Raw genomic sequence first — 17,246 nt, 5'->3', positions numbered from 1 at the left:
TTCTTCATAACACATACCATAAATACACAGTATACAGCATATATATATAAAATATATATACATAATATATATATAATATATATTATATATATATATATATAATAAGGAGAAGGAGAGAGAGAGTTTATATTTTGACCAGTACCAGAGGTAAGTCCCATTAAAACAGAGACATTGTTTTACTCACTGGTGTATCCCCAGCATCTAGAATAAAGGCTGGCATATGACAGACATTCAGTCAATATTTGTTGATTAAATGAATGAATTAAAGTCAATTCAGTATTTTAGTCAGAGAGTGAGGACAGAGTTATAACCAAGAGACCAAGCTAAGGACTAGAAGCTAGGAGGACATAGCAAAGAAGAAGGACTAGGGGCTAGAGCAGAATCAAAGTAAGATGAGTTATAGACTCAGAAGACTGAATCTCACTTTTATTGCCCACCAAATGTTTGACATGGGATGTGTCAACCTGGTTTGAAGCCTTATTGTCTAAAAACCAGGAAGCCACTAATTCAGGGAACACACTTCATTCCCCCAGGAGAAATCAGAACATTTCCTCATCTCCAGCTGTGGTCCTATACTCTGGAATTCTTCAAACTCCCAAGGAAATTATATTGTATTGTCTTCATCTGTATTCCCAGTGTCTGGCCTGGTGACAGGAATAGGACAGAATGCTTAATAAATGATTATTTCAATGACCAAACTGTGAATATATTAAGAATCCCCTTTGCAAACTCTTAGAAGGTGGACTGTAAACTCTAGGTCTGGTATGAGCTGAAACTCTCTGATGTTCCACTCTCCCTCTGCACTCTTTTCCTTCTTTCAAAAGTCCAGAGTCCTTCCCAGCCCAATATTATACCTTGAAAGAGAAGACAGAACCAAACCAGGACTGAGACATCTACTTTCTCTCCATCTGCAAAAATATTTATTAGAGCATGATCCTCAAGCAGGGTCTGTTCTGCTCTTTCTTAGTTTTGCCAGTGGCTAAAAACAAAGCACCCTACCCTTTCTTTCCCACACAGCATTTTTTGCAATTCTAGCATATTTGAACACAAATTTTCTAGACACAATTCTTAAACATAATTGTCTTTTATTTCAGCTTTATTCACACAAATGTTTAATAAGTTACTTCTCAGAGAATAGTGCATGTAAGGCAGTCTTTGATTGTGTGTTCTTTTCTTTCATCTTAGATTGTCCTTTAGTATCTAAGCTGATCAGACAGCTCCCTCTACAGTCTTCTTAGCATCTTCATGTGCCTCTTCTATTTTTTCTCTTTACTTAGTATATTTTGTATTTTTAAGTCAGAATTTTCCAATACTTTCAAAGCCAACTTTCAATTTAAAGTCTCATGGTACAGAACTATGATCATCATTTTTCTTATCTTTAGAATATCTACGTTAAATATTTCATATCTCTATTTCCAAATTTAATATGACCCTTTCACTTTTGTGCAATTTTTACAGCAGCAAAAAATTTCTCCTTATTTATAAGAATTCGACCCTGTATTAGTCAAGATTCTCCAGAGAAACAGAACCAACAGGATATATATATCCTGTTATGGTCATATTATTGCTTAATTGCAAGGATATGTTCTGAGAAATGTGTTGTTAGCTAATTTCATTGTTGTCCAAACATCAGAGTGTACTTACACAAACCTAGATGGTACAGCCTACTGTATACCTAGATTGAATGCTGTGGCATATTCCTCCTAGGGTGCAAACCTGTACAGTATTTTACCGTACTGAATACTGTAGGCAACTGTAACTCAATGGTAGTAGTTGTGTATCTAAACATATGTAAATACAGAAAAGGTAATGTGTTATGCTATGATACTATGAGAGCTACAACATCACTAGGCAGTAGGAATTTTTCAGCTCCATTATAATCTTATGACACCACCACCATATATGCAGTCTGTCATTGAGCAAGACTTTGTTATGCAGCACATGACTGAATTGGTAAACTGTGTGTGTGTGTGTGTGTGTGTGTGTGTGTGTGTGTGTGTGTGTGTGTGTATCATATATATATGTATAATATATGTATATATTATATATATATTCTTATTACTCTCTCCTGCTGGCTTTGTCCACACTCTCTGAGGAGAGGGTCCATGCTCAGTCTCCGTATTTCCTTGCAGGCACTTACACATGGAGAAAGACTTATTAAAAGGAATTGGCTTATATGTTTATGGAGGCTGGGAAGTTCCAAGATCTGCAGTTGCTGAGACCCAGGAGAGCCAGTGGTGCAAGATCCAGTTTGAAAGCTTGCAGCCTTGAAAGCCAAGAAGAATGAGTGTTTTAGGTACAGTCTGCAGGCAGGAAAAGCCTGATGTCTCAGCTCAAGCAGTCAAGCAGGAGGAGTACCTTCTTAGCCATTTTGTTCTATTCAGATCTTCAATTGATTGGATGAGGCCCATCCACATTAGGAAAGACAATCTGCTGTACTTCAATAGACAATTTGAATTGTTTATCAATTCAAATATCTACTCCAATGTATACATTTGAATTGGTATCCAATTTTAACCAATTCAAATATATACTCCAATACACAATTTGAATTGTTTACCAACTTGAATTGTTTATCAATTAAAATGTATGTACCAATGTATATGCCAGTGTATATATTTGTAGACATTGTATATATTCAATGTATACATTTGGATTGTTAAACATTAGATACATTAGATACCAATCCAAATGTATACTCCAATACACAATTTGAATTGTTTACCAATTCAAATGTTAATTTCATCCAGAAATGCACAAACTCAGAATAATATTTGACTAAATATCTTGGCATCCTGTGGCCCAGTGAAGTTGGCACATAAAATTAATCATCACGGGATTAATCACCACAGGCCCTTTGTAGCTATATCTCCCAGTGTTTGTTCTACTTTTGGAAAATAAAATTTCAAGAAGAATCCAGGTCCTTCTAGACTGCTTTCAGCCAGAGGTTCCTACAGATATCCAGTTAATTCTTATTCTCCTTCATACAATAAATATCCTGTCCCTGCCAGGTTCATAATTTGAATCAGGTATGCACATTATTCAATCATTTATTCCACAAGCAAATATTTTGTCTTGATCACCTATTATGTAGCAGGTATTTTGCCAGGAATCATCCACTTCTTTCATCTTGCTCAGGGGGCTACAAACACCCATATTCCTCTCTATTACTCTCTTCTGCCAGCTCTGTCCACACTCTCTGAGGAGAGGGTCCATGCTCAGTCTCTGGGTTTCCTTGCAGGCACTTTTCTTCTTCATATTCAAGCAGTATTTTTCTTCTTGTTGGATTTTTAATCTTATTTATTTATTTATTTATTATTTTGCACTTACTTATGGCTTGTAACTCATAGGCAAAGCTAGTCATTTATTCACAGTAAGAAAAATACAGGTAGGAAATGACACCACAACCTGGCAATGGGTTCACCCACTTGGACAGGGCAAACAGACACTGAGTGACCCTCTTGGCTAACAGTGGTTGTCAAGCCACGTCCACAATCTCAGTGTTGGAGAACTACTGAGTGTTGGGCAGAAAGATGGTACTGAAGTTGCTGCTGAAACAACAGGAGGTCGAGTGCAGTGATGGGGAATCCATTGTGGGAAAAACTCTGAAGGACCAGAGACAGGCTGCTGGCACCCAAAATATTTTTGCTTAATTGGCTGGACTGAAGTTCAGGGACAAGACAACAGTTTTTGGAAAGAGAATTGGCAAGAACAAGGCCTGACTTTGGTGGTTAAGAGTGCAGACTTTGGAGCCAGGATGTCTGGTTTCAGACTCACTTCAGAGCCAAAAAATATTGGGAAAACTATTTAATCTCTTTTTATCCTGATTTCTTTCATATGCAAAGTGAAAAAAACTAAAAGTACTCACTTCACAGGACTGTTATAAAGTGGTTTAAATCAATATATGTACACTAAAAATATGTAAATCCTCGCAATTAGAATATGTAAGCATTCCAATTTAATTTCTGTTGTTATTTTATAGGTTATCTCAATAGGAACTAATGCAGAAGGCTAATTATAGGAAGGAAATTAAGTGAGAATTGGGAATGTTTTTGGGTTTGAAAATTTAGTGAAGGTTTTCTCAGAACAGGAGATTGGGTGACTGTAACATCGTCATAAATGTGGGAGTGAAAACAATCTATCCTGTTACACTTGGTCCAGGTCTAGAAACCCTTGCTGAGAGTGTGGCTTTATAGATTAGCCCGACCTTATAAGCATGTGTTTAAGAATCTCCGGTGAGGTGGTAATGACCCCAGGCTTTAGGTATTCGGGCAGGTCAGAGTCTTAAAATTGTGTTTAACCACCTTTTTCATACAATTATTTACTGATTTTTATTATAAAATATATCATTACAAAAGAATATATAATACAAATAAAACATACACCTGTATACTTACCAACCTACATAAGGTACAGAGCATCACCAGAACCTTTAAAGTCCCCTGAGTACTCTTCCATAATCACAACCTTCACACTTCACCTATAAGTTGCCACTATCCTGGATTTTGTTAAAGATTTTTCCCATCTATATAGCGTGTCCCTAAATAATGCGTTCCTATTTTTTTTAATGTTTTGAATTTTTGTGTCATAATGTTCGTATTCTCCTGTAATTTGCATGTTTTTCTCAGCATTATGTCTTTGAGATTTATCTATGTTGACGCATGTGCCTATAGAGCTTTCATTTTCATTGTGAATAGGTGCTGTTAATTAACAAAAGTTTCAATTCACTGGAAAAATATGAACATTTTAAAATTGTAGGCATTAATGACATAGCTTTAAAACATAGAAAGCAAAATTTATTGTAATTACCGGGGAAATTAACAAGTCTACCATCATAAAAGGCTATTTTAATCTAACTTTATTAAGATTTAATAGATCAAGTAGAAAAAATCAGCAATCATACAAAAGGCAAAAACAAAAAGCAGTTATATAGATAGGAAGGAGGAATTGGTGAACATTCAAGTAAAATATTATGAAGAGAGCTAGAATGGTTTAGAGTAAGATTATTTTTTAAAATGAGCATTCACCAGAACATCCTTTTTATATGTGCCTCTTGCTGGACTGGGAACAGAAACTCAGAGATAATTACAAAATTATCAATGCTTCTCCTATACCATGCCTGCCTTTTCTGAATTCTTCCTACCAAAAAGGAACATCATTTTGATTAGTTGGATCCAGATCACTAATTGGGCCACATTTAATAATGAAAAAGGTGATTGTAGATTTAAAAATTGCCCGTATGTTGGTTCTCTCTCCTTTCTTTTCCACTTTTTCACAAAATGGCAAATTGCCTTTGGGCCACTCCCAGTAGATGCACAATTCTGAGATTGTGCCTTGGGGCTTCTAAGAAGGAACATGAAATAGAAGCCCCTTAACTGTGTCCTCCAGTACAACTTAGATGCATTCTCAGCCTTAAAGCTAAGGGCCCAGTCTATTTGGCTTCCCATTTTCCATTACTCCTTGTAGGAAGATTTCTCTTCGGAACTTAATGGGGATGTACAGCTTTGGTGTGATACACAATTCAGTTATTCCTAGGTTCCCTGAAAATAATAACACCTACAGTTTACCAAATGCCAGCATTTTTTTTTTCCTGACAAGGACACATTACTTATTTTGAGCTATCTCCCCTGAATCTGTCTCCTCCTCTGTAGGAATCATCTCTAGTTGTTCACAGTTTCTTTTTTTAAGAGTTCACTATTTACAGTATTTCCCCCATTTTCACTGGTAACTCTGTGTCCTCTCCATAAGTAAAAGAGTAGAGTAACCCTTCTTATACTCCTTTACTTCCTAAGAAACAGAAAGACTGAGCTGCTTTTAATATATATGTAACTGGTCCTTATATGAGGGAATAACTCACCCGTTACCACAGGGTATATGTGCAACCCTGGTCGTAAGGATAATGTGTCTGCATTTGAATGAGATGGCTAAACATCTCAGCCTACAATAAAACCCACAGGTATATAAAATTATTCCTGGTGTCAGTCACACAAAGAATAAGCCCATTTTTCAGATTGAAAACTGGAACTGAAAAAGTAGACAAATAGATATTCAAAAGATATATATGTAACAGATATGTAAAAAATTCTCTTTTGACCTGAGAAGTGATGAAATTTTTTAATGAAGTTCATCAGTGAGAGGGTGGAAATGGGGTGGTCAAAATTAAAACTGGTACATAGAGACTGACCAGAAACTAAAAAGCAAGGGACACAGATGAGATTTCAATGAACTAGGGCCAATACAAATCTACAAAGGGATGGTAAAATGCTACAAAACTACGATGAAGGGATTAGACCACTGGATTTTGTTAAATAAAGTATTTTGACATTCCATCAATTTCTGATTTTTGTTGTTGTTGTTGTTTGTTTGTTGTTTTTTAGATGGAGTCTTGCTCTGTTGCCAGGCTGGAGTGCAGTAGCTCAATCTCAGCTCACTGCAATCTCCGTCTCCTGGGTTCAAGTGATTCTCCTGCCTCAGCCTCCCAAGTAGCTAGGACTACAGGTGCACGCCACCACTCCCTGCTAATTTTTTTGTATTTTTAGTAGAGAGGGGGTTTCACCATGTTGGCCAGGATGGTCTCGCTCTCCTGACCTCGTGATCCATCCACCTCGGCCTCCTGAAGTGCTGGGATTACAGGCGTGAGCCACCGCACCCAGCCTATTTCTGATTTTTTTTCTATGCTATTCCCTCATATTCTATCTTTGGCAGCTTCAGTCTGTCTTGGACTTGCAAAGGCCAAAGATGTGGTGATTACCAGGCCTAGAAGGATGGGCTCAGTTGAAACTGAGCTGAGAGAGTCCTTCAAGGAGTGAATAAAATTCAGAGCACAAATTCACCACTATCTTAAGCAGCCTTTCCACTCCTGGTAATTCTTCCACCAGAGATAAACCATACTAAGTCTAGGTTTCTCTTTATTTGATGTGGGTAAGTTCTTTAAAACTTAGTTCAAGCAAGAAGAAAAGCATAGCATACACTTTTCACATTGTCCAATTCTGGCATTTCCCCAAGGTCTCTGATGAAATTGAAGTTCTTTGAGCCCCTTACTTACTGACTTATGGCCTGCCTCATCTGTCAGTTCTTTTCTGTAACTGTGGTCCTGCCACATTCTTGAAAAACTCCTTCCCAGTGTCATGGAGTTTATTTCCTAAGTGAATCCTCAATCTGGGACCCTGTTTCTGTGATCAGATCTTCCAAATGCCAAAAACTTGCCCAGATAATTCTAAATATCATTTACACTGTATTCCTAAGATACCACGCAATTATCTTGGGTTTCTTTACCACTGCCTATTCACATGAAATACACCTTTTCCTGACTTTTTAATAATTGCCATTCTGACTGGCATGAGATGGTATCTTATTGTGGTTTTGATTTGCATTTCTCTGGTGATCAGTGATGTTGAGCTTTTTTTTTTTTTCATGTTTTTTGGCCATGTAAATGTCTTCTTTTGAGAGAAGTGTCTGTTCATATCCTGTGCCTGCTTTTGAAAGGTTTTTATTTTCTTGCAAATATGTTTAAGTTCCTTGTAAATTCTGGACATTAGACCATTGTCAGATTGGTAGATTGCAAAATTATTCTCCCATTCTGTAGGTTGCCTGTTCACTCTGATGATAGTTTCTTTTGCTGTGCAGAAACTCTTTTGTTTAATTAGATCCCATTTGTCAGTTTTGGCTTTTGTTGCCATGGCTTTTGGTGTTTTAGTCACGAACTCTTTGCCCATTCCTATGTCCTGAATGGTATTGCCTAGGTTTTCTTTTAGGGTTTTTATGGTGTGGGGTTTTCCATTTAAGTCTTTAATCCATCTTGAGTTAATTTTTGTGTAAGGTGTAAAGAAGGGGTCCAGTTTCAGTATTCCGCATATGACTAGCCAGTTTTCCCAGCACTATTCGCTGAATAGGAGATCCTTTCTCCATTGCTTGTTTTTGTCAGGTTTGCTGAAGATCAGATGGTTGTAGATGTGTGGTGTTACTTCTGAGGTCTCTGTTCTGCTCCACTGGTCTATATGTCTGTTTGCTGGTGAGGCTGTGGAGAAATAGGAACACTTTTACACTGTTGGTGGGAATGTAAGTTAGTTCAACCATTGTGGAAGACAGTATGGCGATTCCTCGAGGATCTAGAACCAGAAATACCATTTGACCCAGCAATCCCATTATTGGGTATATGTCCAAACGAATATAAATCATTCTACTATAAAGACACATGCACGTACTATACGTACTATACAGACACATATAAAGACACATGCACACATGCAGCACTACGTACAATAGCAAAGACATGGAACCAACACAAATGCCCATCAATGATAGACTGGATAAAGAAAATGTGGTACATATACACCATGGAATACTATGCAGCCCTAAAAAGAATGAGATCATGTCCTTTGCTGGGACGTGGACAAAGCTGGAAGCATCATCTGCAGCAAACTAACACAGGAACAGAAAAGCAAACACTGCATGTTCTCACTCTTAAGTGAGAGTTAAACATTGAGAACACATGAACATAGAGAGGGGAACAGCACACACCAGGGCCTGTTGGGGGTTGAGGGGTGAGGGGAGGGAACTTAGAGGTTGGGTCAATAGGTACAGCAAACAACTACGGCACACGTATACCTGTGTAACAAACCTGCATCTTCTGCACATGTATCCCCTCTTTTTTTTTAGAAGAAGAAATAAAAAAAGGAAAACATAAATAAATAAATATCATTTTCTTATACTTAAAAAAAAGAAAGACACAAAAGAAATGCATCTTTTCAGGGGTCAATATGGTGGCAATAAAGGATCCAGATTCAAAATTTTAAATTGTCTTTTTTGTTCACCAATATTTTACAGGCAAAAAGGAGAAATCATTCATCCAGACATGGACAGCACCACTCCCTCAGAAACTTAAAATGCCAAAATTGCAAACATTATTTTATAAACCTTGATGTGAAACAGATATGCACAGATAGTTTAGGAACTTGGACAGTTACCAAGAGTATCTTTTGTAGAGCTGCCTTTCTCTAGTTTAGGGAGGAAGAGATGTTCTTTTATTCTAAGAACTACATTTTCTTTTTCTGTGGTCAAGGGTTTCTTGTGATACAGGGATTGATGAGAAGGAGTATATTGTAGACCATGGAGATTGAGGATACTTCTGGCAGGGGAAAGGTGAATGGAGTCTTCATCTCTCATCATACTGACTTGCTATGCTAGCCTTGGTAGCAGGGATTGTTCCCTCCTGCTCCATTTTGTATAGCTACATGAAAGAGGGCCAGGACTTGACTAGAGGTCTGTATCAATGGATCATTCCCAACTGAGTTCCACTATATGACCCTAGACATGAGAGGATCACTCTTCCAGAGGCCTAAGGTTCCATAAGATACCTTTGATAGTCTTGGGGAATGAAGGAAATTTTTGAATGAATGGAAAAATAGCCTAGAGAGAGGATAGTGACCCCACTGGCAAGACAATATGAAGAGTGAATAAAGGGAGGGCAATGGCCCACGAGATCTCTTGATAAAGACCACAAAACAGCCATACCCTGCTGTAGATCCTTAAAAGTGAAGTGCTGTGTACTGAATGAATAGAATAAAATATGCCACATAGAAGAGTTCTGGTTCTAGATGGCAGATTGAGCATACTTCGCCTTCCCTAATCCCTGAATCCTACTAAAAGAATAGTAAAATAAGCTTTTTAACTTATATAATCAAAATAGCAAAGAGAACAACAGAAGGTAAAAGAAAGTGTGAAGATGCAGTTCCAGCAAATATTTCAACATATTTCTGTAAATGAAAAGCAGATAGAAGAATGCTGACAAATTCAATAAATTGGAGGGAATCATAGTCTGAATATAGCTGCAAGGCACCAAAGGGAAAAGGGAACTATATGCCTGACAAAACCCTAGATGAGGGCAGAAGTTGGTTGCAAACTAAAAGATTAGTTGAAGATCTGTGTATAGAACAGTCTTTCAACCCTCGCCATAACAGAAAGAATCATCAGTAGGAAAAAGAATAATGAATAAATTAAATGAACTCTTAAGGGAAAACGAGGGTGTCTAATGAAGCTGTTATCATACCAAAGTTAGCCCCTACTTTCACAAAGCTTTCTCCTTTTCTAAAAATTCATTTTAAGGAAAGACTTCCAGTTACCAAGCCCACCCTAAAACACAGATCTCCTAGTCAGCTCTCCTATCCTCTGTTCTTAAAAAGGATAGATGTTTAACTTATCTATTGCTATGTAACAAATTACTTCAAAACTTAATGACTGAAAATAACAAACATTTATTATCTCATATACTTTCTTTCTTTGTTTTTTTCTTTTTTCTGAGATAGAGTTTCGCTCTTGTTGCCCAGGCTGGAGTGCAATGGCGCAATCTTGGCTCCCCGCAACCTTCACCTCCCAGGTTCAAGTGATTCTCCTGCCTCAGCCTCCCGAGTAGCTGGGATTACAGGCGTGCACCACCACACCTGGCTAATTTTGTATTTTTAGTAGAGATGGGGTTTCTCCATGTTGGTCAGACTGGTCTCGAACTCCAGACCTCAGGTGATCCGCCCACCTCAGTCTCCCAAAGTGCTGGGATTACAGGTGTCAGCCACTGCGTCTGGCCTATCTCACATACTTTCTGAGGGTCAGGAATTCAGAAGCTGCTTAGCTGGGCCATTTTGGCTCAAGGTCTCTCCTGAGGTTACAGTCCAGATGTTGGTTGAGGCTGCAGTTATCTGAAAGCTTAATTGGGGCTGAAGGATCAGCTTCTAAGCTCATTCACATGGCTGTTAGCAAGAGGTCTGTTTCTTGCTATGTGGGCCGCTTGTCATGTTATGGAAGTCAGCTTTCTCTAGAGTGAATGATCCAAAATAGGAAGCAGGAAACAACACTGCCTTTTATTACCTAACCTGTAAAATTGCATACCATCATTTCAGCCATATTCTGCTGGTCAGACAGAGCAAATCAAATACAATGAGGAAGGTAACTATAAAATAACATGAATAGCTGGCTGGGCACAGTGGCTCACAACTGTAATCCCAGCACTTTCAGAGGCTGAAGCATGAGGATTGCTTGAAGCCAGGAGTTTAAGATCAGCCTGGGCAACACAGCAAGACTCCCTCTCTACAAAAAAATTTAAAAATTAGCTGGGCATGGTAGCACACACCTGTAGTCCTAGCTACTCAGGAAGCTGAGGTTGAAGGATTGCTTGAGCCCAGGGGGTCAAGGATGCAGTGAACCATGACCATACCACTGAACTCCAGCCTGGGTGACAGAGTGAGATCCTGCCTCTATTTTTTTTTTAAGAGAGAACATGAATGTCAGAAGGTGAGATCACTGGAGACCATCTTACTTGGAGGTTGGCTGCCACAGTAGGCAAAAGAGAATTACCAGATAAATGGAAAAAATCTGAAGTACAAAAGGAAAAGACCAAGGTAATCAAATGTGAAATGTGACTCAAGATGGTTCATGAAGGAATAGAAGAGGATTTAAAAACAATACAAATGATTAGAAACACTGATTGGTATCCTTGCATAGATTTTACAAACAACAAAAAGGGAGGATGGGCCAAAGGAAAAGAAGAAGAGGGTTGAGAAAATAGCATTCCCTTAGATGAAGGTGCATGCAGAGTACTATTTTCCATTTTAAGAGAGTCTGGAGATTGGGACACCTCCAATTCAGCCACAGGTAGTAGCTCTAAGAATTGACTTAAGCTCTGAGGATAACTGCTGAAGAGAATGTTGAAGAAATGCTGCATTTATCAGGTCTTAGAATTAGTATCTGTGTCTGAAGGTGTTTAATATAAGCCCCTTTCTTGAGGTCCTGCATAACTGCAAATGGAATTGCTGTTTGCTTTGCTTTCATTGGAGGTGGACATTATTGGAGTATGCAAGCATTCTTTGTCCATCTCTAAACTTGAAAACATTTGTAACACTGCTGAGAGTTAAACATTGAGGATATCTTACTGCTTTTCAGTACACCTTACTGCTTTTTATATTGAAAGCTAATTGTCCTTTTTCTAAACATCTATGAAAATAATTTCAACTTTAAAGTCTCTACATTTCTACTTTTTCCTTGCACAAATTCTGAGAACTGCTGTGTACTAGGCATGGTAGTAGGTGCAACAAATATAATAATGAGCAAGACATGGAGCTTGCAATATACAATATATAGTGTAAGCAAGCAATTTTAATATCAAATGAGAAATCCTAAGATGGCAGTACAAGGAGTTACAGGAATATACAGAAGGTGGTCCTAACCCAATCCTGGGGAGCATGCAGTAAAAAAAAGGTTTCCCACCTCCCTCTCAAAACCCCACATCTAACAAAGCACAATATCTGCTTGATTTTGCTTCATAAATGTCTCTAGGATCCATCTAAACTTCATTTTTATCACGTTGCCCTGAGTAGGCCACTGTCATCAATTAACTATTCTATTACAATAGTCTTATTACAATAGGCTTACAAATCAATGGTCATCCTGAATCCACATCTGTCCTTGTTTTCCACATAGCAGCCAGTATGTTATTTTGAAAATATATATTTTTTCATGTTACTTTTCTGTTTAAAATATTTCAGCAGCTTCTCATTGCTCTTATAATAAAGATAAATTCCTTAATATAATTCATTCCATATCTATTTTTCTAATTACATCTGAAGCCGTGTACCTCAGTCACTCACTTTACACAAGACACATGGGTCTTTTGTGTACGACAGTCTGCTTTCATGCTAAGGTTTCTGAACATATTATTTCCTCCTTACATCAACATTTTCCCTCCCCCTCTTTGTCTTGTTAATTCTATATTTTCCTTTAGAATTCAACGGAATCATTTCCTTGGAGAAGACTTTTTTGACTTCCCTTACATCCTGGATAAAATGAAATACATTTTATTTTATGTTATTATAAAAACATGCTTTTCTCCTTTGTGGCATTTGTTACAACTATGATATTACTTCTATTTGTCTGATTATTTGACCTCCTGCCACTCTTCCCTCAAAGCCTCTAAAATCAGAAATGTAGGAACGAAACCAAACTCACTCTCTCCCATCTTCCCTACTAGACTACTTGCTCCCTATAGTCAGAAAGTTTTCTTTTAGAAGCAGAGAGAATTGAGAAAGATGAAGTTAAGCAAAGGCTATGCCATAAAGACTTGTAGGTTAAGCTAAAGACTTTGACTTTGACTCTGAAGTCAGTAGTTGTCCAATGGGCAATGAAATATCATATCTGAGATATTTTTAATTTTACTATTATCTTACTTTCAGTGATAGAAACTGTTTTATGCTTAACAGATTAGTTATGAGCTCGGCAAATTGTTATTGAACAATTAAACAGGACAGAATATAAATTTCCTTCTTTTTTTGAGACAGAATCTGGCTCTGGCACCCAGGCTGGAGTGCAGTGGCACAATTTCGGCTTACTACAACCTCCGCCTCTGCATTCAAGCAATTCTCCTGTCTCAGCCTCTGGAGTAGCTGGGATTACAGGTGTGTGCCACCACGCCCAGCTAATTTTTGTTTTGTATTTTTAGTAGAAATGGGGTTTCACCATGTTGGCCAGGCTGGTCCTGAACTCCTGACCTCAGGTGATCCACCCACCTAGGCCTCCCAAAGTGCTGGGATTACAGGTGTGAGCCACTGCACCTGGCTAAATTTCCTTCTTAAATGTGAGAACATTAGAATTCTGTCCTTAAATGGAAAAGAATTTGAACTAAATTATTAGACAGATGATAAGAAATCAATTAGTTGTATTAAAACTAAGCATGGTAACTATTTAACCAGAGGAACCAATTAATCCAACGTATACTGAAGGAAACCTTGCAGTTCCCTTAAAGGCAGTCTACAATTCTCCAAAGACAGAACCTGAGGGACTTTTGGACATGGCCCTCATAGCCTAACTTTTGCCCCCTACTGCCACTCTTTCCCTCAAACCCCTAAAACCAGAAGTATAGGCATGAAACTGAACTCACTCTCTCCCACCTTCTAAGAGCTCTAATTTCTCTTTCTATTTCTTAAAGCTGATTTTATAGAGCAGACATGGTCTTGTCAGCTGTGACTCCATTAAAAAAAAAAAAAAAGCTTTTGCCCAAAAGAAAAAGACCAATTCTTACTTGGTCTTTGTTGTCCAGTAATTTTAGTATGTGGTTCATAGAGAAAACAATGAGAGAACCTTCAGAAAGTTGGAAAGAAAGTTGCACATTGAATTTTAAACTATTTTTTAAATAATCATTTAAATTAGAGAGGTATATAAAGTCACAAAGCAGAGACAGAATAAGCTCTAGCCAAGACTTGAACAGAAGTGTTTAAATGTACTAGCACATATAGAGTAAAAACATGACTGTCTTTAAGATATTTAGCCAATAAAAGATGTTTAGAAAAAGGAAAGTCAAACCGTGGTAGTATTTTATTTCACGATCAGAAGAGAGAGTGTCCTGGCCCAGTATCATAACCAACCAGGTGATATGGCAGATATGATCCTGTGGTGGAGATGTACTTAGTAATTTCCAGGGCTCTATGACATCAGGCATTAAAATTGCCAAATAACTCCTCTTTTCCTAGTTGCAGGCTAACTAAGCAGCCTTTTAGTTATAATTAAGGTTTTCCATTTTCATTTGCCTACCGAGAAACCATTTGTTCTAAGTCTACCTGATGGTTAAACTTCTTATTTTAAATTAAGTAAATTAATTGGCATTTAAGGTTTTTGTCATTAGCCTCCATGAGCTTGTTTAATGTGAGTACACTTTGAGGTTCAGATCTAGGCATTCATTATGCTGACAATCATGTTTTCAAGCTGAGGGCCTAAAGACCTGTGCATATTCAGGCCTGCCATAAATTTGCCAAGGAAAGAATCAGTGAACTTGAAGAAAGAAATGTAGAAATTATTTAATTGGAACAACAGAGAAAAAAATAGACTAAATTAACAGAGCTTCAGAGATCTGTGAGACTATAACAAATGATTTAATGTTTGTGTCATCAGAATCCCAGGAAGAAAGGAGAAAGAGGGAGGGACTGAAGAAGTACTCAAAGAAGTAATGGATAAAATCTTCCCAAATTTGGAAAGGAGCATTAACTATATACTGAAGAAGCTAAAAAGATAAACCCAGAGATATCCAACCACACTTATATTAACTTGACTTCTGAAAACTAAAGATAAATGAAAAGTCTTGAAAGCAGTCAGAGGAAAATGACACTTTGCCTATAGAGGAAAACCAATTTGAATGACAGTGGATTTCTCATCAGAAACCACTGAAGTCAGAAGGAAGTAGCACAGTACTTTTCAAGTGCTAAGAGAACTGTCAACTCAGAATCCTATTCTCTGTGAAAATATTCTTCAGAAATGAAGGGTGAAATCAAGAAATTGTCAGATGAAGGAAAATAATTTGTTACCTACAGACCTACCTAAAACAATGGCTAAACAAAAATGAAATGACAGCAGAAAATATTGTGGAAAATTAGGAAGAAAAAAAGTATGCTAAACAAAAATATAAATAACTACAATAGGCTTTCCTCTTCCTCTTGAGTTTTCTGAGTTATGTTTGATGGTTAAAGCAGAAAGTCATAATATTGTCTGACACAGTTCTAAATACATGTAGAAGAAATGTTTAAGACAATGATAATATAAATGCAAAAAACGCATGCATTCTTATACACCAATAACAGACAAACAGAGAACCAAACCATGAGTGAACTCCCATTCACAATTGCTTCAAAGAGAATAAAATACCTAGGAATCCAACTTACAAGAGATGTGAAGGACCTCTTCAAGGAGAACTACAAACCACACCTCAACAAAATAAAAGAGGACACAAACAAATGGAAGAACATTCCATGCTCATGGATAGGAAGAATCAATATCGTGACAATGGCCATACTGCCCAAGGTAATTTATAGATTCAATACCATCCCCATCAAGCTACCAATGACTTTCTTCACAGAATTGGAAAAAACTACTTTAAAGTTCATATGGAACCAAAAAAGAGCCCGCATTGTCAAGTCAATCCTAAGCCAAAAGAACAAAGCTGGAGGCATCAAGCTACCTGACTTCAAACTATACTACAAGGCTACAGTAACCAAAACAGCATGGTACTAGTAGCAAAAGAGAATGGTACTGGTACCAAAACAGAGATATAGACCAATGGAACAGAACAGAGCCCTCAGAAATAATACCACACATCTACAACCATCTGATCTTTGACAGACCTGACAAAAACAAGAAATGGGGAAAGGACTCCCTATTTAACAAATGGTGCTGGGAAAACTGGCTAGCCATATGAAGAAAGCTGAAACTGGATCCCTTCCTTACACCTTATACAAAAATTAATTCAAGATGGATTAAAGACTTAAATGTTAGACCTAAAACCATAAAAACCCTAGAAGAAAACCTAGGCAATACCATTCAGGACATAGGCATGGGCAAGGACTTCATGTCTAAAACACCAAAAGCAATGGCAACAAAAGCCAAAATTGACAAATGGGATCTAATTAAAGTAAAGAGCTTCTGCACAGCAAAAGAAACTACCATCAGAGTGAACAGGCAACCTACAGAATGGGAGAAAATTTTTGCAATCTACTCATCTGACAAACAGCTAATATCCAGAATCTACAAAGAACTCAAACAAATTTACAAGAAAAAAACAAACAACCCCATCAACAAGTAGGCGAAGGATATGAACAGACACTTCTCAAAAGAAGACATTTATGCAGCCAACAGACACATGAAAAAATGCTCATCATCACTGGCCATCAGAGAAATGTGAACCAAAACCACAATGAGATACCATCTCACACCAGTTAGAATGGCGATCATTAAAAAGTCAGGAAACAACAGGTGCTGGAGAGGATGTGGAGAAATAGGAACATTTTTACACTGTTGGTGGGACTGTAAACTAGTTCAACCATTGTGGAAGACAGTGTGGTGATTCCTCAGGGATCTAGAACTAGAAATACCATTTGACCCAGCCATCCCATTACTGGGTATATACCCAAAGGAACATAAATCATGCTGCTATAAAGACACATGCAAAAGTATGTTTATGGCAGCACTACTCACAATAGCAAAGACTTGGAACCAACCCAAATGTCCAACAATGATAGACTGGATTAAGAAAATGTGGCACATATACACCATGGAATACTATGCAGCCATAAAAAATGATGAGTTCATGTTCTTTGTAGGGACATGGATGAAGCTGGAAACCATCATTCTCAGCAAACTATCGCAAGGACAAAAAACCAAACACCACATGTTCACACTCATAGGTGGGAACTGAACAAGGAGAACACTTGGACACAGGA

The sequence above is a fragment of the Homo sapiens genome, chromosome 11 (genome assembly GCF_000001405.40).
Source record: "Homo sapiens chromosome 11, GRCh38.p14 Primary Assembly".
NCBI lineage: Eukaryota > Metazoa > Chordata > Mammalia > Primates > Hominidae > Homo > Homo sapiens.
The sequence above is the reverse complement of the archived record's forward strand: the minus strand, read 5'-3'. Positions refer to the sequence as shown.